This window comes from Homo sapiens, chromosome 16 (genome assembly GCF_000001405.40).
Source record: "Homo sapiens chromosome 16, GRCh38.p14 Primary Assembly".
Classification (NCBI taxonomy): domain Eukaryota; kingdom Metazoa; phylum Chordata; class Mammalia; order Primates; family Hominidae; genus Homo; species Homo sapiens.
Genome location: NC_000016.10, coordinates 82,862,716 through 82,888,322, shown reverse-complemented (window position 1 = coordinate 82,888,322; position 25,607 = coordinate 82,862,716). Strand labels below are relative to the sequence as shown.

The 25,607-nt window shown below is 39.9% G+C and overlaps 1 protein-coding gene across 8 annotated transcripts in view, besides 1 other annotated feature; it reads right to left on the bottom strand.

Annotated features, from left to right (window-relative positions):
• CDH13 (cadherin 13) overlaps window positions 1–25,607 on the bottom strand; it is a 1,173,672-nt gene that overhangs the window by 912,318 nt on the left and 235,747 nt on the right. The window lies entirely within an intron of this gene.
• Window positions 6,861–7,071: a silencer, noted in NCBI's record as "fragment chr16:82914857-82915067 (GRCh37/hg19 assembly coordinates)". NCBI's record gives its function as "represses an EF-1alpha promoter that drives an FKBP-Casp9 reporter gene in an ReSE screen in K562 erythroleukemia cells {active_cell/tissue: K562}" and the evidence as "EXISTENCE:reporter gene assay evidence [ECO:0000049][PMID:32094911]".

Sequence of the window (25,607 nt, the reverse complement as noted above, 5' to 3'; positions counted from 1 at the left end):
CTGTCACAGCCAGATCAAACCTTTTGCCTTTATTCTCCCAGATTTCATGAAGCTTATATGAAAATGGCAGCCTGCAATGAGGCAATGGGAGCGCCCGTCTGATTTGCCTTTCTATGGCAAGGTCATAGAGGATACAAATCGGTAGCACCTACACACTATGTATGTTTTCTTCCCAAAAGGTTGTTCGGTGCTTTTTGGAACTTGGATCTCAGAAAAATAATGTCTTAGATGGCTAACCAAAAAGACAAAAACAAACAAAACCCACCAAGATGAGCAAGTAAATACCTGACATACAGCCCTTTGGCCAAAACCGTACTTTTCTGAAGTAACAGTGTGTTTAAGGGAAGCTGTTTAAGTTCAGAATCACAATCACCACTGCTTTCCAGAATGGGCTTCCATGCTGTTTTCAACACGTTCTTAACCTTGGGTTGCTAGGGAGGCTGGGTTCACCTGCTGGAAAAAAAAACCCTTGAGACACTCTTCTCCTTTCTTTTTTTTTCTGAGACGGAGTCTCACTCTGTTACCCAGGCTAGAGTGCAGTGGTGCGAGCTCAGATCACTGCAACCTCTCATCCGCAGGGTTCAAGCAATTCTCCTGCCTCAGACTCCAGAGTAGCTGGGACTACAGGTGTGCACCACCACGCCCAGCTAATTTTTGTATTTTTAATAGAGATGAGGTTTCACCACGTTGGCCAGACTCGTCTCGAACTCCTGACCTCACGTGATCTGCCCACCTTGGCCTCCCAAAGCGCTGGGATTACAGGCGTGAGCCACTGGCCCTCCTTTCTTTTAATCCTCTCCCCACATGTCACCTACCCAGATCCTTCCTGTCAGGCTGCATTCTTCTCTCCAGGACTCTGGGGTGGAAAAGGCAGTCCTCCAAGGATTTTCTAACCTAATCCAACCCACAGGGGCATGCTGGTGTTTGAAGACTCTTTCTCATTAACAACAATGAATGAAAATGCCTATTCCTCCCACACCATTCCCTTTCCCATTCTTTACTCTCATTTAGACCAGGAATCAGCAAACTCCTGGGCCAAATTAGACTCTTACTACTTTTGTGTAGTAGTCACAACACAGGCCAGCTGGCCTGCAAAGCTGAAAGTATGTATTATTTGGCCCTTTACAGTAAAAGTTTTCCGACCTCTGTCCTAGACCATTGGTGAAGATAAATCTTTGGGCACAAGTTCGAAAGTGGTTTCCTCCCTATATTAAAGAGAAATCTTTAGGTAGCTTCTTTGCCCTATTTAAAAGGAGGCTTCTAGGGTGAGAAACCTACACAGATATGGTTGTACAGAAACCTATCTAATAAGCACAAGTTTAAAAATAAGGATAAAGAAAGAGGTGCACACATCAAGAAAAGACATAGAAGGCATACAGAATGGAGTAGTTATCCACTACAATTACCAACCATTTTTCTTCAATGAGCAGAGTGAATATGACTTAGAAGGACAAGGAAAACATCACGGAGATAAAATGAGACCCACTCAAAGGTAGGGAAGTAAGCAACTTCCGAGTCACTTGGGAATGGACTCAAGCCCATCAGCACTTGGTTAAACATGGTTTTGACTGGAGGGTCACAGTTAGTAAGCTCTAAGGAATCACAGAGAACACAGAAAAAGGCTTAGAACAGTGCATGGAGCCGGTGTCCAATTTTCATAAATTGGAAAAGAGTAAATTCCAAAACTTTCTCATTAGAAAGTAAAAATTTTAAGCCCTGGCAGAATCATTAAGAACAAGCTCCACATGTAAAAAAAAAAAATTGCACAAATATTCTAAGTTGATAATTTTAAGAAACAGAAATGAATATGGTCAAAAAACACATGGCAAAGTTTAACTTTGCTGGTGATCAAATAAAAACAAGTTAATAAAATAGCAATAACATCCCATGTTTGTCTACCGAAATGGCAAACGTTTGCAGTGATAACACATACACTGGCAATAGTGCAGAAAACCTGGCCATCAAAACCATATGGAAATGCAAACACCAGGCACTGTGGCAATATGATTCAGCTTTGCAATGTGTACACTCTGTAACCACCAATTTCACTTCTGAAAACTTAATCTAAGGAAATAACTGAATAAGGATGTTCACTGCAGCATTATTAATAACAACAGAAATTTGATATAGTCTAAATGAATAGCTATAACAGTTTGATTATAAATATTTGTACTACAGAATATTTTTCAGCTATTAAAGAAACCTTTAAAATGAGCTGATGAAACAGATGGATATCAGTAACATAAATGAAATATACATGTGTATATTTATGACTGCATTTATAATTATAATTTTAATAGACATTATATTATGTATCTTTTACATGTTTTCTCACCAGATCTTGAAAACTCTGTTAAGTTAGCAAGAGGATAATAATGATAAAGACAGCTAATATTTACTGAGAACTTCCTCTATGCCAGGCACTTTGTCAAGTATCTTATATGGATTATATCATTAAATCCTGACATAACCCTATGAGGTAGGCACTATTATTAACCCCATTTTTTAAAGACTGAAAAGGCCATAGAAGCATAAAAACGTGCCCAAGGTTACATAGAAAGTGCATGATACATACAGACAGAATTTGAATGCACAAAATGATTCACTGAAGATCTTGTGCTTGTAACCAATGCACTACATTTTAAAGATACTATTATTTCTTCCCAGGATGAATGGATGGATAGATTAAAGAATATACAGATAGATAGAAGAAAAGGTAGAAGGACAGATGGATAGAAGGTAGGATGCAAGGCAGGATAAGTGAATGGATGGATGGCTGGATGGATGGATGGATGGATGGATGAATGGATAGATGGATGGGTGGATGGATGGATGGATGGGTGGATGGATGGATGGGTAGGTGGATGAATGAATGAGTGGGTGGGGGGGTGGGAGGTGTATATAGATGGGTGGGTGGATGGAGAGCTACAAGAATGGATAGGTGGATAGATGGATGAAGCTGTCATGAAAGAAAAAACATAAAACTGATTATTTTTCAGCAGATCTTTTATGATTTTTTTTCTTCTTTTTGCTGTTTTCAGGAGAATGACCAAATTTTCTAAAATGTTTTGTTTTTGTAACCAGACTATAGAAATATGTTTTACATTAAAATTACTTACAATGCAAAGCCATAAGAGTAGTGCTCATAATATACTATCATGCATTATGCATCCATCTTTGTATCCATCTCTTGCAAAAGTGCAGTTGGGTTCTAGGTAGAACAAGAGCTGAACAACATCCCCTTCTCTTGCTGTATATAGTACCGGAAGAAAAATTAGAATACACAGCCAAAACACAAAGTAGCCTCCTGAATGTCACCCAAGTATATATGGGTAAGTCCACCCAACTAAGAGGAAATGTGCAAATGGGATTTTCTCCCCAAAAGAAAGAGCTTTAGACTAGAGCTGTAGCTGGCTAGAAAATAAAAATTTGACGCAACTTTAGATTTTCCCCACAGCTTTGTCTTTACGTTATAAGTTGATGACTGGAGAAGAAAATAATATGGCTGCTGAAGTTTTCAAAAAGGATTTTTATCCAAAAATTGGACAAGGCTGAAAAATCTGAGAAAACAAAGTGGCCTAAGTCTTGTTGGCTGAGAAAAACTTGGAGATGCCTTTTAAGTCTGAGCTGTTTCCAGTTCAATTGCATAACAGATGAATTGGGGCAGTCAAGTTTAAATTTAACACGTTTATTTCAGCGATGACATTTCTGAGCAAATGTTCTATTAGTGTTAACTTTAGGTGAGTCAAACACCTACAGGGGACACAGGAAATAGATTCTCCCTGGCTTCTCTTGCTTCCCTCCTGTGTCCCCTGGCTTACCTTGGGTGACATGGTGTGCCTCCAAGGACTTGAAAATTACAGGCACTGGGTTGCTGCTGTTAACTAAGCATCTTGCTTTGTCTACTGCAACAGACAACAGAAGGAGTCTCATTTTGTTACTTGTCAGCTCTCCTGGTTAGAAGAACTGAATCCCAAGCTCTCTTCTAACACCCCCTCCCCAGGTTGCCTCCTTTTCTCAATAGCATGCCTCTGCTGACTGACAAACCCATCTTATACCTGCAGATTTCCTTCTCATGGGAGCCCAGGCTTTTAAAAGTGGCCTCTACTTTAAAAGTCTGTCAGCTAGTAGAATACATCTGTATTATGTTGGAAAGAAACAGCATAAGGAAAGAAACAGCGTGCATGCAGACATGCATTCAATCAACAATATTTGTATTTATTCACCTAATGAACATCTACATGGCACTTCATTATTGGTTTTAAGTGTTGTAGTCATAATAATTCATCTCATACACCCAAAAAAAAACACCTATGATGGGGGTATGATAATCAAGCCCATTTTACAGAGGAGGAAACTGAGGTACTAGGAGGTTAAATAACTTGCTCATGAACAGGCATTAAGTTGGAGAGCCAAGATTTGCATCCAAGCAGCTGGGCTCCAGTGGCTGAGCTCTTCAGCATTCTGTTATGTTCATTAAGCCCTAAAGCTGTCCCAGGCACAGAGTAAGGACAGAAAGATACAGTGAGGACCAAGATGGGGAAGACCATGAAATGCCTCCCTGTTGCTCTCTAGAGACAGCACAGCAAATATTAGAGGCTGCTCCATTCTGGGCACGAGCTCAGCTAATCCTCACAGCAGCTCTGTGAGCAAGATGCAAATTTATGACTCCCTCGTAGAGATGAGGAACTGAAATTTAAACTAAACATTACACCCAAGAGGTAACAGAAAGATGCCTACTGTCTAGACTAACAGGAGACAAAGCATGGGTTTGCTATTTCAGTGTAATCCTCATACCACCTGAATCAGAATCAGCTGAGATAGTCGATGGAAAACATGCAGATTCCTGTGTTCCAGCCTGATCATACTCATTGTGAACCACTAGGCAAAGGGCCTGGCAATCTGCATTTGCACACGTTCCCCCAGGTGACTCTGATAGACACTCAAGTGTGAGAGCTTTGCCTACAACAGCTGCTTCCTTTCTCCTGCTATTAAATACAATGATGTGATGGTGGGGATGATGGTAATTAACAACAGCTAATATAGAAAGCATTTCACATACAATAGCAATAGATCATGAGATGACACTGCCTGCTTTCATTTCTCATAGCTGCTTAGTAGGTCATATTTTCCACAACGGAACTGGCATGCACTTCAAGCCCTCTCATTTCTTATCTCTTCTCTTATGCTTTCTGAATTTAATGGTGTGAAACCCCATTGTCACAGCCTCAGGTGATGGCATTCTATAAAATCCTGTCTCTCTAACCCTTAGAAGGTGATAATAAAACCCAGATAATTGAAATTAGTGAACTTTCTCATAGGACAAATCTCTTTAGACCTCTACACATTACAGGCAAATTCTAGGATTTATTGAACCCTCCCATTAAAGGGGTAGGCTTATACATGCTTCCTTCATTTAAACAGCTCCATTTTAAGAAAATCATAGTATCCTTTTTTTCTCCTAATATCCCAAGAAGGAGAATAGGCATGATCCACATCAGAGAGAGTGAATAAAAAACCAAATGGCTTGGTAAAAATCTTACCAAGCGTATGAATAAATTTTTAAAATTAAATACCAGATTTTGTATGTATTAGACATACATACTGTTAGGTTTGTTTTTTCTAAAAGGAAGGAAGAAAGGGAGAGAGAGAGGGAAAAAGGGAGAACGGAAAGAAGGAAGGGTGATAGGAAGGGAGGGAAGGAAGGAAAAAAGCCAAAGAAAATAAAAACACCCTTAGTCCCTCTACATACTTTTTCCAGCATGGTTAAGAAATGAAGGAACACATTCTGATCATCGAGCCCTACCCTGCAGCGGTGACCATGGTTCACAGCTGGTTAGCTTGCCTGCCAGCGGCCAGGTCTGCCTGATACGCATGTGTACGGGTTTGCAATGCTGGTGGTCATTGGCAGCGGAGTTGGAGACTAGAGCCAGACTGCCTGGATTTCAGTCCCAGTGACTTCAGGAAGTGAGTGACTCTTCATGCCTGGTCTCCAAAGGAAGATGACATTAGTACCCAGGCTGGAAGGATTCCTGATATGGCAGCTGGAAGGAACCCTGCCTAGTAACACTCTACTAGTGGAGATTAATGCTTATTATTATGTTAATATCTTTGTGACACTTGTGTGCTTTATTCACACCATGGCAGTAACTCATAAAAAGACAAGTGTGAATTGAATCATAATTTACATGCTCTAAAAATTCCTGATATTTATTTTTTTAAAAAAGCTCTGATGTGAATCAGACTGAGCTGAGGACTCACTCATACCTAAATTAATAAAAACATAGATGCATGAATAGATACACATAAATAATCATACATTAAAGTTAATAATGGGGAACTTGAAAGACAGAGTTCTTGAAAGACAGGAATTAGTACTGCAGGTTAAACAGCAGAGTAAGCACTGCCACAGAAGCTGGTGGTGGGTCCAGGGTGGTGCCAGCCTCAAAAAGGGGTGAGCTCTGGAAAGAGACCTGGGTGTGGGGGTCATGAACCAGGTGACATGCTATCGTATCGCAGGGGGACACTCAGATAGTCAGCCCCCTCCTCCTCACCACTGTCAGGCAACCACACTAGGAATGTGGGTGTCTGTCTCCAAGGGCAATAGTGACTATGGAAGCTGTCTCCATGGATACCAGATGGCTTTGTTTTCTAGATGACTGTAGTGAATTCTGTAATGTGCCTGTTGTATTCCTTTTCAGGACGGAAGGACTATGTTTCCCAGGTTCTGCAGACAGCCTTCACCTGTCAGTCCTCTATGGGTTACCTTGGCTAAAGACAGTCTTTTCCTCTAAGGTCATGGCTCCTTCCCACAGCCCACATCCAAAAACAGATTGTAATGGAGTTATACAGGCTTGGCTCCCTTGCCCCAACTCAGGACCATTGTGAACAGCCATCCTGGCTTCAGAGTCCCTGTGATATTGACTGAGCCTTTGATAAGACTGTCAGACTCCAGCTTTCTTCCCCTCCCTCCCACAGCAGATGACCCCCAGAATACTCCCTAATAAACTTCCTACACACCAATCCTCATCTGAGGTCAGCTTTCCGGAGACTTCAACCCATGGCATCCAAATGGGAGCTTGAACCCCTATGCAAGATGGCCCAGAGACACGAACGGAAGCCTCTACACACCCAAGCACATGCACAAAGATTAGGATAAGCCCAGCCATTGATCACCCTTTGCTATATGCCTTTTCCATACATATTACACAACAATAAAGAAAAAAACAATACTAAAGCACTGAAAATGAATGTTATAAATACTAATGGCATCCACGCATTCCATTTGAAAGGGTCAAGATAAACCCAGAGGAAAATATGAAGAGACACTAGACACCACGGGGTAATGTCTAAAGGCTTTAAAAATTGTTCTCACAAAGTTTATCCCATTGGTTTTCAAAGCCCCAGATGTTGGGCATTATTTAATCTGATTTACAAATGGTAACACTGAGGTTCTCAGTATGAATTCCCTCATTCAAAGTCAGGAGTTGTATCTAAATTTTCTTAAAGATGTTCTTTGCCTTGGTATCATAAAACTAGAGTTGACCTTAATATCAATATTAGTCATGAAGGGCTGGCCAACTTATGAAATATACCAGCATATTGATGTATAATAGAAAGGGTATTAATTTATAATTATAAGATGTTTTTCACTACAGTAAGCATAGCAGGCTTGCTAATCAGGCACCGTTGGCCATTGACTTGGGCTATTAGAGTAGCAGCTGGCCTTCTTCAATCAACCAAGCAAGTATTATCCATAACCAGGATGGACCTGGCAAAGGTCCAAAAACAAAGCAATTTGCTACTTTCCATTTCCCTAAATCCATCACCAAAATAACAGAGCAAATGCCCCCATTCAAATCACCTTTCTATGTGCTCAGTATGAATTAGATGAAGGCCCTCGGCAGGTGAAACATTCAATATCCACATTAGTACCACCGATATATGAAGCAATCAACCCAGCGGGTACCATGTAAGTGAAACGAGAGACAGTCTAATAAGAAACTAAAAACCTTCAGACCCCTCATCCACGTAGCTTGCTGAAAGCCGGTTTACAGGGTTAATAATTTGTTCAGGTGGGAGAAGCATGAGGACGCTGCACTTGAGAAGCAAAGGCCTCTCATTGCAAAGTGGAAAATATATAGGGCGATACAAAGAGACTGAAATATACACTGATCAGTAGGTATGATCAGTATGTATCATTTGCTCACATGGCTCAAAGTGAGGTTTGAAATAATATATATACATACTGATTACATAAATAGTATATATAATCTATTAATCCATTATATGATTATATATGATCTATTAATATAATCTATTATATATTAATATATAATCTGTATGGATCTATATATAATGATACATACTGATGTTATAATATATATTATATATTTCTATAATATCTAAATATATAATATATATTTCTATAGCTAAATATAACATATATTTAGATAAATCTATTATATATTCACAAATATAATTTGCATAATTTATATATATTTATAAATTATATAATATATATTCATATTTTATATACTTATATATTATATATCATGTAAATATGTTATATACTCATATATAATCAGTATGTATCTATATATTATATATAATGAAACATACTGGTTATATTATTATATATTATAATTTATGTAAAATATATTATATCTAAATATATGTAACATATAATAGATATTTTATATTATGTATAAATATACAATTACATATAAATATAATATATAATATTGTATATAAAATATACAATATATGTATATATTATATAGTATATATTAAATATTAATATACTATAAATATATATTAAATATATTTAATTAAATTATATATTTTATATTTATTTAATATATATTTTTCTACATATATAGGAAAATATATATATAAACAGTATGTATCATTTGCTCACAAGGCTCAAAGTGAGGTTTGAGGGGCCATGATCAGATGACATTAATGGATAGAAATAACCACCATTTGCCAAGCAGAGACTGTACCAGCCTCAGATTTTCCTTCAGTGTTCCTTAAAAAAGAAACCTAAAGTGCAGAGAAGCTAAGGAGCTTTTTCTAGGTTACAGAGCTAGTAAGTATTAGAGCTGGCATCCAAATCCAAGCATTCAGGTGCCAGAGCTGGGCATCTGCCTGCCACCAATACTATGAGGACCAGAGCTGTGATGTCCACAACCATGGGCCCAGCCTGCAAAGCTCAAGGCAAGGCTTGCTTATCCCACCAGAATATGGAGCTGGTGGGAGCTGACCATAAGTTGAAACACATTGGAAATATACATCATGGATGTAGTTGGTGTCATGGTCATGGGGTAGGAGGGGATGACATCAGCAAACAGGGAAACTCAAGAAAACAGAAGCCCCTGTCACCTCAGAGAAGGTGAGGATCTCATGCAGCATTGAAAAGCCTGCCTGCTGCCTTTGAAAATGCTCAGTAAAATCAGTCCTGATCTATCTTTCAATGCCTCAATGTTAGATATTCAGGTGACACCTAGAAAGGCACAATTGCTGATGACAGACTCTTGGTGCTTTGAAATGGAAAAGATGGCAATATCTGAATTTTTATTCTCAATAACCTCCTGGAGATTTGTAAGTTCCCTGCCAACTGCTTGTGTCTCCCCAACCCCCGCCATTGGACCAACAACCATGCCCCAGGCTCCACTCGAATCTACCCAGTCTCTGAGAAAATCGTTACCAAGAAAGGCAAGCTACCAGAAGCCCCAACGCACAGAAGGGGTTCTGGAATAAATCTCCCCGTTCTCAACTCCTGTGTGTTTAGAGTGTGTTTAGAGAGGGAATTCTTTCCTTCTTGTAAGCCTCAAGTAACAGAGACAACCTTACTGAAATGTATCTGTGTGACTTTCTCTTCAAATTTTCCCAGTTGACGTCTCCTCTTTTTTGCTAGAGGCATTTGCTGTCTTAGAGATGATTAGGAGCAAAGAGAGTGAAAGATTCAACATTTAGTCTAAAGACTTTACTAAAACAAAAATCTTGAAAGCCAGGGTTTACTGAGAGAGCAAAGGGCTTTCTAATTTGCAAAAAATTTACTGTAAGCCTTGGGTAGAGATAACTGCAGATTTCAGTGAAGGAGCATTGCCACCCACCCTGAGATCCTTTTCGTCTAAGTGACACAGACTGGGGAATGCTACTGGAGAGGGAGAGGGGTTTGACGTTTCCTTGGGGCTCAGACAATCTGGCTTCTGAGGCTGATTCCACAGCCATTATGATATGGGAAGACATTTCAAAGCTGCACATATGTATTTTCAAACATTTTACTATATCTTACTTTCGATTAGTTTAGCAGAATGAGAATATATATACATATATAGAGTGTGTGTGTGTGTATATGTGTGTGTGTGTGTGTGTGTGTGTGTGTGTGTGTGTCTATGTGTATGTATGTATTTCCACCTTCCTCTCTCCTCAAGAATCATGACAGGGTTTGAGTCCTAGAGGTTCAGGTCTTCCCTGGCCCCCAGGTTACACTGGCTACTGGAAATTTAAAAAAAAAAAAATGAATAGAGGTGGCTGTGTGTAAAGCAAGTAACTTTAGGAGAGATTTGAGGAGCTCTTCAGACTGGAAAGGAGTTAGATTCTGGGGTATTTTTGCATGCTTTCTGGAATATTTACTGTGCATTTTCACATCATAAAGACTTGAGAGGGCCTACAGTTTAAATTAAAAAACAAAACAGAATTTCCCAAACTTACTTAACTTCAAAATATGTTTCCCCCCATTGCATTGCTGTTACCACTCTGCAGAATAGTGTTCCACAGACAGAAGTTTGGGAAATGCTAACATGGAACAAATGTGAACTACCATGTCCTGAGAATTCAGACCACCTAAATCAACATGGCGTAGTGCTTAAGACCAACAACTGAGATCACCTTCGTCAACCTGACTTAATTGTTCACAGAAACCTTTGTCCACGAAACATAAGGCTCTAAACCAGGAACAATTTCACTGCTTCATTTGGACAATCCATGCATATCAATTTATCTGGGACAACAGTCTCCTTAGCTAGATAAATAGCTCATCTATCAAACAATAACCTACTTGTCAGACTTATTTCAGTAAACTCATCTTGCTATGTCTAACAATCTTAAATCAAGATGTCATGAATTTACCCAATACCAATCATCTTCCTATCTTAAATTGCTTGAGGCTATACCCTCCCTACAAGCCCTATAAATATCTATTCTGACTTCCATCTTCTGGAATGTTGCTGAGATTCTGTTAAGGTAGTATTTGCCCTTATGGAAGTGAGTTCTCATAAATGTAGTCTTGTTTTAACACCAGTTATCTTCTACTTTGAGAAGTTGTATTTACTGTATAGTATATGAGCTGTTTGGGTGCATGCTTGAAATGGGGGAGCCTAAATGACGCTTGAGATAGTTCCCAGATACTTTTTTTCTATGGTCAGAGCTCAGCACTGCCCAAGTCCTCCCCTTGTTTGGGCTACCTCTCCAAACTCAGTAACTGTATGGATGCTTCTGATTTTTGTTTGTTTACAGTCCCTAGTTTAGGGAATGGGCTTCCAAACATGATACCTGTCTGCTAGACCACAAAGTGGGCTCTTGACCCAATGCCAGGCCAATCAGCTTCTCTACCAGGAATTTGAATAAAGACATCCCAAACTGGAAGGTATTTGGAGTTAAGTTATTCCTATCTTAACACTAAATGTGTGGTCCACAGACCAATGCCCAACCTCTTGTTAGGGGCCCATGACGAGTACAGAAGTTGAAAGCAATGTGACATAGTAATGTTATACCTGTTCCATCTATTTTTTTAAAAGCTTACCTTTTATGTCTTTGGATTTATTTAATTTTACAAAACTTGATTTTCATTATATTACTAAGAAAAAAGGTTCAAAACTTGAAAATAAGACAAAAATGTGGGTTGCATGTTCTTTCAATGTCGTATACAGGCATTAACTTGTCAATTCAAAGATTATTTAATTATCTAGGAAAATGTACTATTCACTACTCAATGATGGTTTCAGGCTTAACAACATTACATGTTAATTCACAGATTTCTGTCTGGCAGAGATACAAGTAATGATGGGTAGAAAAGATAACCACAGAGGTTACAGTTTTTTGTCCTGTAGGACATGATATGGTTTAGCTGTCTCCCCACCCAAATCTCATCTTGAATTGTAACTCCCACTATTTACATGTCATGGGAGGGACCGGTAGGAAGTGACTGAATTATGGAGATGGGTCTTTCCTGTACTGTTCTCGTGATAGTGAATGAGTCTCATGAGAGCTGATGATTTTAAAAAGAGGAGTTCCCCTGCACAAATTCTCTTTTTGCCACCATCCATGTAAGACGTAACTTGCTCCTCCATGCTTTTTACCTTCCACCATGATTGTGAGGCCTCCCCACTCATGTGGAACTGTAAGTCCAATAAACCTTTCTTTTGTAAATTGCCCAGTCTCGGGTATGTCTGTATCAGCAGTGTGAAAACAGACTAATACAGGACATTAACCAGCTTCGTATGTAACCTAGCAAACTTATTCTAACACTCCTTTACTATTAAATTGCATGCAAATAGCTAGTTTCTCGAATGCTCTTTGAATCATACTTATCATTTTATTGGTCCCCTTTTGCATTGTTGAGATAGATAAAATCTTTGATGTGTTCACTTTAGATATGAATGTGAGTCATGTTTTAAACTTTTTGAAAACTATATTTGACATTTTTCTTTAACAAAAGTATGTTACTGTGACACATTAAAACAAAACAAAATGAAACAAATATCGTCATTCACTGTAAAAGTTTGAAAAGCACTGTCCTAATTCTATGAGTTCCCATTGCTTAAGCCCATGGAACTTCTCTAGTTTCTGTCCTTTCTGAGACCTTGTCATTCAGGTCTTTGGATGAACCTGTGACTATGCAACTTCCTTCTATTTTAATTAAGTATCTTTCTTTAAAGTCTTGAGTTAGTCAGGATTTATCAGAATCCTAACTAAGTCATCATATTGTAATTATAGCCAACAAAACGCTTTTCAACAGATAATCCAACCTCTCCTTTGGTACAGAAGTAGGCTATACCTATCACTAAAATGTCCTGATCAAAACTGCACATCATGAAAACAAGAAGTCTGAGTTGAGCATCCAAAAGCAAAGCAGGCAACTTTTGTCATACGCAAAAACTTTGTGACACTTTCAGCTTTGGCCTCACTCATTCTAGAACTACCTTGGTCATGCCCCAAAAATGAACAAAACCTTGGAAGCATAATCAAAGCTGTCATGTGCAGACTCCAGGCCTTTATTTGGGAGGTGTATCTTCTCTCTCCCTCTTGAGTATGGCCAAAAGCCTGGTCCTAGCCCATGGCCTCCATGTCCCTTTTGGACAATGCGATTTGATTACCTGGCCACACATCCCCATGAGTATCCATCTGGCAATCCCAACTGCCCTCTAAGTTCAGTCCTCCCTATTCTTATTCTCCTTCCCCTCTTCAGTACCTAGAATTTCATGCTGAGTCTCTTTCTTAGTATAATTTATCCCCACTTACTCTCATTCTGTTTTCAATTCAACAGACTTCCTTCCATGGAAAAATGCAGTGCTAACCATATTCCTGGGAGGTTTTGACTCATATTTTGAACTGTTTTTCAAGCACTGCTTATTTCTTTTATGTTATTCAGAATCAATGTTTCCTCATTTGGAATCCCCCCTTCCTCTATGGAATTTAATGTATACATATGAAAATTTAAAACCAGTTTTAGCTAAAAATAGATCCTCTGGGAGGTCTTCAGAATCAGCTGACAGGCACAGTTAAGAGAAGCCTGGATCGCTGACAATCGTTTTGGCTTCAAATGGAAAAGAAAAAAGCTGGTGCAGCACTTGGCCACTTCTCGGGGGTGGCCTGCCAAGACATCATTTACCAAGGTGTTCACAAGTAGTAGAGGGGTTGAGGGGTGGGCTGAGCCACCACACTCTGCTGCTCCCAGAAGTGGCCGGGATGTGAAGACGCCAACTCAACATCTTAGCACGACTAAGGTTTGCAACTTTTCACGGGAATGTTCTAAGGACTGCAATCTGCAATTCTGAAATCCAAGAGACTCAGCATACCAAACATGTTTTTATAACTCATTTGGCAGCAAAACCCAACCTGAACTGACATGATGTTATTTGTGGTCCTTATTTATCCTACTGAGGGTAAACATTCATATGTTTTACTATTGAAATGCCAACCTGTTTTAATACAGGGAGCTGCCCGAGACCCCGCTCGTAGAATCGTGTAATACAATGTGTGCATCTTATTATCTTTCTAAATTCCAGAACACATCTGGACCTAAAATTGGGAGTACTAATTTCTCAAATATTTTTCATAGAGTATGTTTTTAACATTTAGCTCAAAGAGACCAAGCATGAGTGAGAAGTGGTCAGGGGTGGGGGAGAACAAGTATCCCTAGAACATGAAAATACTTAAAAGAGAGTCTCAGAAGAAGTAGGAAGAAAATATGCTCTCTTTCAGAGGAGCCAAGCTATATTGAAAATTTCGTGGGTCATCTTTGGTGGGCATCCAGCACTACCCATTCAAACAGCATCATCCCACAGAGATTTCCCACCCCAGCCTTATTCTTTTAAAGGATAAAACCAACCAACTTTTTAAAATAAAAATATTGCATGTAGCAGGCACTGCTGTCACTCCTTTGTATGTGCTATCTTGTTTAATCCTTGAAATACTATCTCCATTTCACAGATGAGAAAAATTAGGAGCTGGAAGTTTGGGTAGCTTAAAAACACCACCCATTGTGAGTGACAGAGACAGGCAATATAACCTAGGAGCCCACACCACTGTCCTGTGAAACTATCAAGGACACCCCAGTCTGTTCTCAGAGGCAATGACAGGAGCACTTTACTGTGAAAGAAGACTCCAACACCAGCTACAGCATTCCATATGGAAAGATAATGGGGTTTGGAGTCAGAGGATTGTAACACCACTGACACTTTTTAGTGAGATCTTGGGCTCTTTAGTCAATCTTTATACCCCTATCTATAACATAGAGTTTATAATCCTATTTGCAAGACATTTGAGATGATTAAATGTATCAAATGACAGCCCTCCTCCTGGATCACAGTATCTCAAACTGAAGAACCCACTCTCATTTTAGGGCTTTGACATGAGTTACTCCCTCAGCCTAAGTGTTTATACCATTGATTTTTACCTCACTGGATTCTTCTCATAGTTTAGGACTTGGCTTCTTAGAAAAATCTTCTTTGACCACCCATTCTTCAGCAGCCATGCAGAAATCTCTATCATATGACCTTGCCTTATTTCCTTCATGATACTTAACCATCGTCTTGTCATGTGCCGTTTTCCTGTGTTCTCAAGGGTTTATTATATCATGTTTGCCTTTTTCTCTCTCTGATATCATCAAAGCTCCACAGCAGGAGGCACATTTTTTATCTGATTCAAAGCTTTATCCCTTATACTTAGCACAGGGTCTGGCAAAAACTAGGTGATCATTCAGTGTTTCTTCTATAGTTGGCTAAATGAGTGGTAGGGACTCAATATACATCTTTTCCTTTTCCATTCCCTATTTCTATCTCCAGAAGGAGAATGAATTTTGTCAAATGCAGAAGTCCTTGGGGATATTTTGACTGGCAAGCATTTGTACCTCTTGCCCTTTTGCTCTCAAGCCAAAAAAATTTCCATCAACATTAAGGTGAAAAGAACAAATAGAGGGCACCTCTATTACTAGAATGTGTGTAGATTTGATCTGTAACAGAATAATAAGAACTTCTGCTTTCTCAGCCTATTTAAAGCTATGCTTAATCTTTCCCAATTTATATTTTGATGCCTTACTTATTAAAGCAGCCCAGTTTATGTAGTTCTAATACCTTAAATTAGGAGATGCTCCTGTAACATCCGTATGTTCCTGTATTCTTAATTCCTTAAAGAAAAACAGAAATGAAACAGATTTATACCAGCTCCAGAACCAAGTGAGTGAAGACACTCAACAGGTTGAAGAGTGAGGCCATATGGCAGCACTTAGAATTTGATAGTCTTAATTAAGCAATCTGCTCACCAGCATCACCAGCAAGAAACCTGGTGTGATGGCTGTCCTTATCCCCTGCCACCTAAAAAACATTTCCATTTGTGTGTATGCTGGGTTCTAAAAATTCTCAGGCTTGGGGCACAGTCTGCGGTCATAAGACGTTAGTACTTAATGGGACCTTAGCAACAGAGCACAATACCCTTAGAACGGACTGTCTGACTTTTGCCAGCCCAGCATCATTTCCTTCCTTGAGGGAATTTCATCTCCATTTCCCCAGGCCTGGCTAAGAGAAGTACAGAATTTTCTTGGATATAATAACTGGCTTAGGGATAAGCACGTAAACCAAGTTGGTCCAAGGACGGTCAGCCTTGAGATATTTGCTGGAACACTGGGAAAACAGATGCTCTGGCTCTTTTAGCTAGAAGAATAAAAGACTGGAATTGCTGGTGGCCATCTTGGAGGGAAACCCTCTGAGAGTGAAGATTGAGATCAATATTATAGAAAGCAAAGCTGGGGGATGAAGGGTGATATTGAGGATATCATTAATGCATCTAGATCCAAGTGTTTCCAAAGCCAACTCACACTGTGAAATTTTCAATCATGTGAGCTGATAATTTTATATGTTTTTGCTGAGGCTAGTTGGAGTTGTGTTACTGTTGATTACAGTCAAAACAGCCCAACTCACAAGCTCTCATTATACAAATGAGAAAAACAAAGGTCCAGGGAGGAAAACTGTCATGCAAGTCAAAGTTAGAGCTGGGATTAGACTCCAGTGATTCTGCTTCTCTTTCGGAAAACCTCTTTTAGATGCCTGTTAGTGTCAACCCTTGGATCTCCCTGGGGCTCTCCTTTCACTTATTTCATGTTCAAGTGCTCCCCAATAACACTCCTATCTCCCTTGTTGATCTCTCCTCTGATATACATACAAACTGTCCCCATCTCAGGACTTCTGAAATGGCTCCATGGCAGCCTGAGCCATGCCCACTCATCCTTTTCACCTTCCTCCTATTCTGAACTTCCAGAAAGCCAGCCACCCTGTCTGACCACATGGTTCCCTTTTCATACATTACCTGTATCAACAATTCAAAACACTGAAAACAGATTTCAAAGTCTTTGATCAACACCAGCCAGCCCATGTCCTCTCACCCCTTAGCACTGTATTCTGCTTCCTTGATAGTGAATAGCAGGTATTGTCAATAGTGTTACTGATATGACAGAAACAAGACAGCATCAAAAACTTCAAGATGGTTTTGTCTTCTATGGAACATCATTTGACTCCATGAACAGTCTTAGGAGTAATAGTGACTTCCTGAAGGTGAATTTAGATGCCCATGTGGGACAGGCAGAGTTAACTAGGAAGCCTACTGGATATCAGAAAGATAAATATTGGAGGGCCATAGCAAGCTTTCAGCTACAATCATCCCTATGCTGTTTCTGACAGCTAATATTTCAGGGACCATTATAGGTCAGCTACTATTCAAAACCCTTTACATAGATTAATATTTTAAAAAGTAATTTAAATTTTTATGGGTACATAATAGTTGTATATTTTTAGAGGGGACCTATGATGTTTTGATACAGATATACTATGTGTAATAATCAAATCAGAGTAATTGAGTATTCATCACTTCAGACCTTTATCATTTCTTTGTGTTAGGGACATTCCAATTTCATCTTATTGGGTATGTAAAATATATAATAAATTATTAATTTTTGTTACCCTATTACGCTACAAAATACTAGATTTTATTCATTCTAGCTGTATTTGTGTACCCATTAACCAACCCCACTTTATTCTCCCTCCCCAGGACCCTTCCAGCCCTTTCTTTTAGATATATATCCAGCAGTGGGACTGTTGGGCCATATAGTAGTTCTATTTTTAGTTTTTTGGGGACCATCCATAGTGTTCTGCATAGTGGCTGTAATAATTTACATTCCCACCAACAGTGTATGAGGGTTTCCTTTTCTCCACCCCCTCACCAGCACTCATGATTGCCCGTCTTTTGGATAAAAGCCATTTTAACTGCAGGGAGAGAATATGTTTATATATACATTTTTTTGCATTTCTCTGATGATTAGTGAGGTTGGACATTTTTTCATATACCTGTTACCCATTTGTCTTCCTTTGAGAAACGTCAATTCATATCTTTCGCCCATTTTTAATGAGATTTTTTTTTCTATTGAGTTGTTTGACTTCCTTATATATTCTGGCTATTAATCCCTCATTAAACGGGTGGTTCTCAAATATTTTCTCCCATTCTGTGGGTTGTCTCTTGATTTTGATTGTTTCCTTTGCTATGCAGGAAGTTTTTAACTTGGTACGATCCCATTTGTCCATTTTTGTTTCAGTTTCCCATGCTTCTCAGGTCTTAAGAAATCTTTGCCAAGACCAATGTCCTGGAGTATTTCCCCCAATGTTTTCATGTAGTCGTTTCAGAGTTTCAGTTCTTAGATTTAAGTCTTTAATTCATTTTGATTTGCTTTTTGTATATGGCAAGAGATAGGGCTCTATTATCATTCTTCTGCATATGGATATCCAGTTTTCCCAGCAGCATTTATTGAAAAGACTGTCCTTTCCCCAAGGTATGTTCTTGGCACCTTTGTCAAAAATGAGTTCACTGTAAATGCATAGATTTCTGGGTTAGCTATTCTGTCCCATTGGTCTATGCATCTGTTTTTATGCCAGTATCACACTGTTTTAGTTACTATAGCTTTGTAGTACAACTGTAAGTCAGATAACGTGATAACTCTAATTTTGTTCTTTTTGCTCAAGATGGCTTCTGCTGTTCTGGGTCTTTTGGGGTTCTGTATAAATTTTAGAATTTTTTTTCTTTTTCTGTAAATAATTTCATTGGTATTTTAATAAGGATAAAGTTACATATCAAACTCCTTGTTCTACCCCTTCCGCACTTCTCACTACTACACTTGACTTGTGTTTAAAAAGAAAAAAAAAAAAAATTCCCGCTGAGCGCAGTGGTTCACACCTAACCCAGTCCTTTGGGAGGTCGAATCAGGACGATCGTTTGAGGCCAGGAGTTCAAGACCAGCCTGGCCAACATGGCAAAACTTTGCTCTATTAAAATTACAAAAATTAGCCAGGCGTGGTGGTGCACTTCTGTAGTCCCAGCTACTCGGAAGGCTGAGGCATGAGAATAGCTTGAACCCAGGAGGCAGAGGTTGCAGTGAGTTGAGATTGCGCCACTGCACTCCAGCCTGGGTAACAGGGAGAGACTCCATCTCAAATAATAATGATAATAATTACACAATGTAGCAGTTATCACACATAGATTAATATTTAGCCCTCAAAACAGACTGTTGAGATTGCTGCCATTATAATATTAATTTTCCAGATGAGAAAATAAAACCACAGTGAGTTTTTTTGTTTTGTTTTTCCCAACTTGCCAAAGTTACTTAGTTGGTAAAGGATCGGCCTTAGATTTGAACCCAGGCAGCTGAACTGTGGCATCTCTGTCTGCTCTGAAGACGCAACACTACCCAGAAATTGGGAATTTCTAAAGGTGAAATTCTAAATGTTAATGACAAATTCCTTTTATCAAACACCTCAAATTCTCACACTAAGCAGCCAAACAGGACGTATCTGTGAGGCAAATTTAGCCCAAAGGCTGACAGTGTGATACCTCTGGTCTATTTATCTCTTCCATTCTACTGATAAGAAAACTTAGGCCAAGGGAACTCCACCTGTGTTCATGTTCCTCGTCTGAGAAGTCCTTCTCACTCTGTTACTTCTTGTGTTTCCCATTCTTTAAAGAACAAGTTAGGACCCAAGTCCAATGGAAGGATCTCTAAACATTTTGTTACATCTGTCTTTGATGTGTACATATGTTCATTTCTTATCTTACGTCATTTTATTATAGTATTTCACATTTGTTAGGTAGGATAATGCATTTATGAGGTTTCTAATCATTATTAATTGACTTACTACTAGATTGTTACAAATGGATTGGTAGGAGGGAAGGGAAAACCTGTGAAAGCATAACATTTCTACTGAGCTCTGTTTAAATATAGGAAAAACTCTTATTAATGTAAATAGGAGTCCACATTCTGACCCGATGTATCGTCAACTTCATAATGATAGAGTGAATTAGGCAATACCAGAATAATTTTCCTTGGCACATCGCAACAGATTAAAACAAATATACTACTTGAAACCCCAACCTTGTCCAGCTCTGTCCAGACTGCAGTTCAGGGGACGTTACATAACCTCACTAATCAATTAATCAGTCTCCCAACCTGAAAGTAAATACAAGCTTGTATAAAATATGTAAAGGATGTGTGAAGAATGACCAGAAAATGGGAAAAGAATTATCATTGTTATTTTTAAAAATCACAAGAAATGAAAGCAAAAGTAAAAGAATCTAGGAAGTTCTCAAGATAGAGAATGTAGACAGATAAAAGCCTAAGTCAGCTTGAACTCAGGAAACAGGCAATTCTCCACCTGTGAGGCTGCAAAGTTCATCCATTTATTACTATCCACATGAAATCTTTTCAGCAGGGTCAAAAGAGCCTTTGTTGTGACATTAAATTCACTGACAGTGTATTTCCTCCCTTAGGATGCAAAACACCTCTCACATGCTTTTTCATTAATTGCCTTCATTTTTCAAGTTCCTTGCTTGATTTATAGTCAATTAAAAGCACCCTCAAAAGCCATGACTCATGTATGTTAAGTACAAATATGATTAATGTGATTCCACACACTCCATGGAGGACCTGGCTGCTAACCAAGGTCAGTGTCATGGTGGCATGACCAAGTAACGTCTTGGTGAAAGAAACTAACAGAGAGGGTGGAAAGCTGAGAGTTAAGGGTCATGGACAATCTGGCCCTGGGTCCATCCAGAATAGAAAAAGCTAATTCTTCTATAATACAGAGACAGGATGAGCTTGGCTATGAAAAGCAACAAATACGCAGCAGCAGCAGTTCTCTCTATCTCACCCTGGTTGATAAAAGTGATGGGAAAACACACCGGCAAATTTCCTTGATGTATCACCACCAACATCAAAAAAACTAAGAGACACTAGGCCACAGAACTATGGATGAAAACCAGGGCCCTAAAATCCTGGGTTCAAATTTTGACACCACCAATTATAAGCAGTATGATCTCAGGTTCATTGTTTCACCTAGCTCAGCCTTAAATGTCCTCACCTGTAAAATGGGCAGATGAGAGTACCTTTCCCCTAAGAGCTGTTGTGAGGTTCGAGGTGGCCCTCAACACACTAGGGAGCACACAGTAACTGTCAGTTATCAAGGCCAGGGAGGCCATACTTGTCCACACTCACAGAAGCTTGCATGCCAACATATGTTCCTAATATGGTTAGGCTTTGTGGCCCCACCCAAATCTCATCTTGAACTGTCATACCCATAATCCCCACATGTCAAGGGAGAGATCGGGGGAGGTCATTGAATCATGGAGGTGGTTTCCTCTATGCTGCTCTCGTGATAGTGAGTTCTCACGAGAACTGATGGTTTTATAAAGGGCTCTTCCCCCTTATCTCGGCACTTCTCCTTCCTGCCTCCTTGTGAAGAAGGTGCCTTGCTTTCTCTCTGCCTTCCACCATGATTGTAAGTTTTCTAAGGCCTCCCCAGGCATGCTGAACTGTGAGTCAATTGAACCTCTTATCTTTATAAACTACCCAGTCTCAGGCAGTTCTTTACAGCAGTATGAAAACAGACTAATACGAGACCAGTCTGGCCAGCATGGTTAAACCCTCTTTGTACTAAAACTACAAAAAATTAGCCAGGCATGGTGGCTCATGCCTGTAGTCCCAGCTACTCAGGAAGCTGAGGCAGGAGAATCGCTTGAACCCGGGAGGCAGAGGTTGCAGTGAGCTGAGATCGTGCCACTGCACTCCAGCCTGGGCGACAAAGTGAGACTCCATCTCAAAAAAAAAAAAAAAAAAAAAAAAAAAAAGAAGAAGAAAAAGAAAAGAAAACAGACTAATACAGTAAATTGGTACCAGTAGAGTGGGGTGCTGCTATAAGGATACCCAAAAATGAGGAAGCAAATTTGGAAATGTGTAACAGGCAGGGGCTGGAACAGTTTAGAGGGCTCAGAGGAAGACAGGAAGATGTGGGAAAGTTTGGAACTTCCCAGAGACTTGTAAAATGGCTTTGACCAAAATGCTGATAGTAATATGTACGATGAAGTCCAGGCTGATGTGGTCTCAGAGGGTGATGAGGAACTTGCTGGGAACTGGAATAAAGGTAATTCCTGCTGTACTTTAGCAAAGAGACTGGCGGCATTTTGCCCCTGCCCTAGTGATCTGCAGAATTTTGAACTTGAGAGAGGTGATTTAGGGTATCTGGCAGAAGAAATTTCTAAGCAGCAAAGTGTTCAAGCATGACATGGGTGCTCTTAAAAGCATTCAGCTTTACGTATTCACAAAGAGAAGATTTGAAACTGGAATTTTTATTTAAAAGGGAAGCACAGCATAAAAGTTTGGAAAATTTGCAGCCTGAAGATGAAATAGAAAAGAAAAAAACATTTTCTGGGGAGAAATTCAAGCCAGCTACAGAAATTTGCAGAAATAAAAAGGAGCCAAATGTTAATCGCCAAGTCAATGGTGTAACAGGGCTGGTGGGTAAGAGGGAGATGTCTCCAGGGCATCTCAGAGGTCTTCAAGGCAGCCCTTCCCATCACAGGCCCTGAGGCCTAGGAGGAAAAAATGGTCTCATGGGCCAGACCCAGGGCCTTGCTGCTTTGTGCCGTCTCAGGACTTGGAGCCCTGCATTTTGGCCATGGCTAAAAGGGGCCAAAATACAGTTCAGGCTATTGTTTCAGAGGGTGCAAGCCCCAAGCCTAGGCATATTACACGTGGTGTTGGGCCTGCAGGTGCACGGAAGTCAAGAATTGAGGTGTGGGAACTTCTGCCTAGATTTCAGAGGCTTAATGGAAACACCTGGATGTCCACGCAAAAGTTTGTTGCAGAGGCAGAGCCCTCATGGAGAATTTCTGCTAAGGCAGTGCAGAAGGGAAATGTGGGGTTGAAATCCCCACACAGAGTCCCCACTGGGGCACAGCCTAGTGAAGCTGTGAGAGACAGCCACCACCCTCCAGACCCCAGAATGGTAGATCCATTGACAGCTTGCACTGTCCTCCCGGAAAAGCTACAGACACTCAACGCCAGCCTGTGAAAGCAGCTGGGAGTGGGGCTGTACCCCACAAAGCCATGGGGGTGGAACTGCCCAAGACTGTGAGAACCCACCTCTTGCATCAGGGTGACCTGTATGTGAGACACAGAGTCAAAGAAGATCATTTCAGAGCTTTAAGATTTATCTGCCCTGCTGGATTTTGGACTTGCGTGGGGCCTGTAGACCCTTCGTTTTGGCCAATTTTTCCCATTTGGAGTGAGTGTATTTACCCAATGCCCGTACCTCCATTGTATCCAGGAAGCAGCTAACTTGATTTTACAGGCCTCTAGGTGGAAGGGACTTGCCTTGTCTCAGTTGAGACTTTGGACTTGGACCTTTGGGTTAATGCCAGAATGAATTAAGACTTTCGGGAACTGTTGAGAATGTGTGATTAGTTTTCAAATGTGAAAGGGACATGAGATTTGGGAGGAACCAGGGGCGGAATAACATGGTCTGGCTCTGTGTCACAACTCAGATCTCATCTTGAATTGTAATCCCCATGATTCCCATAATCCTCACGTTTCAAGGGGGTGACCAGCTGGAGGTAACTGAATTACGGGGGCAGTTTTCTCTATGCTGTTCTCATTATAGTGAGTGAGTTCTCGTGAGAAATGATGGTTTTATAAGGGGCTCCTCCCCTTATCTCAGCACTTCTCCTTCCTGCCACCTTCTGAAGAAGGTGCCTTGCTTCCTCTTCACCTTCTGCCATGATTGTAAGCTTCCCGAGGCCACCCCTCAGCCATGCTGAATTGTGAGTCAATTAAACCTCTTTTCTGTATAAATTACCCCATCTCAGGTAGTTCTTTATAGAAGTATGAAAATAGGCTAATACACCTCCTAACATGCATATGATTGTCACATTATCTAGAAACACTCACTCTCTTTTGTCAACATGGACAGGAGTCCCTTCATGAAAATGTCTCCTAAGAAATACCCCTGCCTCTTCAGAAACAACGACATATTAAAACTTCAGAAAAGTATCAGAAAAGTGAAGAGCAAAAAGGGTGACATCAACCTAATCCCTTAGATCAATGGTTTCCACAAAAGCGAAGTAAATAAGAATATTTGGTGCATTTTTCACAAAGCAAAATTTACTCAAAGAACTGACTTTTCTTCTGTAACTAGTCTTTACTTCTTTTATGTTTATTTTTGATGCCAAGTGACCTTTTAAAAGGAAAGCCTGGCAAAAGTAAATGGCGGTAGTGTTTTCCCCTCCCTTCATTTACTTACTTTTAAAAAATTCATACCAAGTCTTACCAATTTTTTAAAATACACTCTCATCAATCTAGGATTTAAAAAAATTACTGGTCCATGAAGTTCAAATGCCCTACAATCACTGCTTTAGTCGCTTCTTCACCTGTTTGTATTTTTAATGGCCAACATGATTTTTCTTCTTAAAGCCAATTTCAGATGGCCATTATAAGAAAAGTGGATCTAGCTGAGGTCTATGAATGAAAGTAATGATAATAATAGTAACAGCAGAAATTATAAGGACAATAATAATAATAATAGCAGCTTCCATTTATTTGTGACTATGTTCTAAGCATGTTTCCCATCAGTTGAGGCATTAGCTCTAGAAGCAGGGACTACCATTAATCTTCTTTTGGAGATGAGATAATTCAAACTTGGAGGATGTGAATAACTCACTCATGGCCACAGAGCTAATAGATGACTGTGTGCACATTTGAATTCTAGTCGATATGAGTTTAAAACTGTGTGATCTTAACCACAGTATTGTAACCAATTGGAGGAAGCAACTGGAGTCCATGAGTAGGTGCTGTCCCTCCCCTAGTGTTTCTAAGATGGCACAGGGAGAGGAGCTTATAGTGTTTCTAAGAAGCTAATTCTGTTCAGTGGGAATATTTCTCTACTAAGGAAAGCAGGACATAGTCGCAGGTGCACGACCTTGCTCTCCTGCTTAAACTGACTAACTTCATCCTATGTAGGCCTTGGTTACTCCAAGACAGCTGGCTCCTTTGTGGTCCATTTCTGTCTCTATTTATGTCTCTTTCTGATATAGGCGACATCATTTTGTTAGGATCTTTGTAGAGACTGTGATCCTGCATCGATACCCATGTGTTCTTCTACGTTTGCCAGACTCCTTTGCAGTTAGGTTGGCGACATGATTAGATCTTAGAATATGAGCAGAAATGATACATGCCACTTTGGGGCTGAGGTATTTAAGCACCTGCAGTGACCTCCTCATAGTCTTTCTTATTCCCCTGTCTGCCAGCTCAGTGATAAAAGCTGGAAGCTACAAGATGGTAGGACCAAGTTGGAAGTAGCCTCGGCCATCAGGTTCTTGCATGGAGGGCAACCACTGGGAGGAGAGTTACCCAGGAGAGCAGCCCGACTGCATCTGCATGATCTGAGTGAGAAATAAACTTTCACTGTGTTAAGTCACTAGAGTTGTTTGACACCATGGCCTAGCCTAGCCTGCTC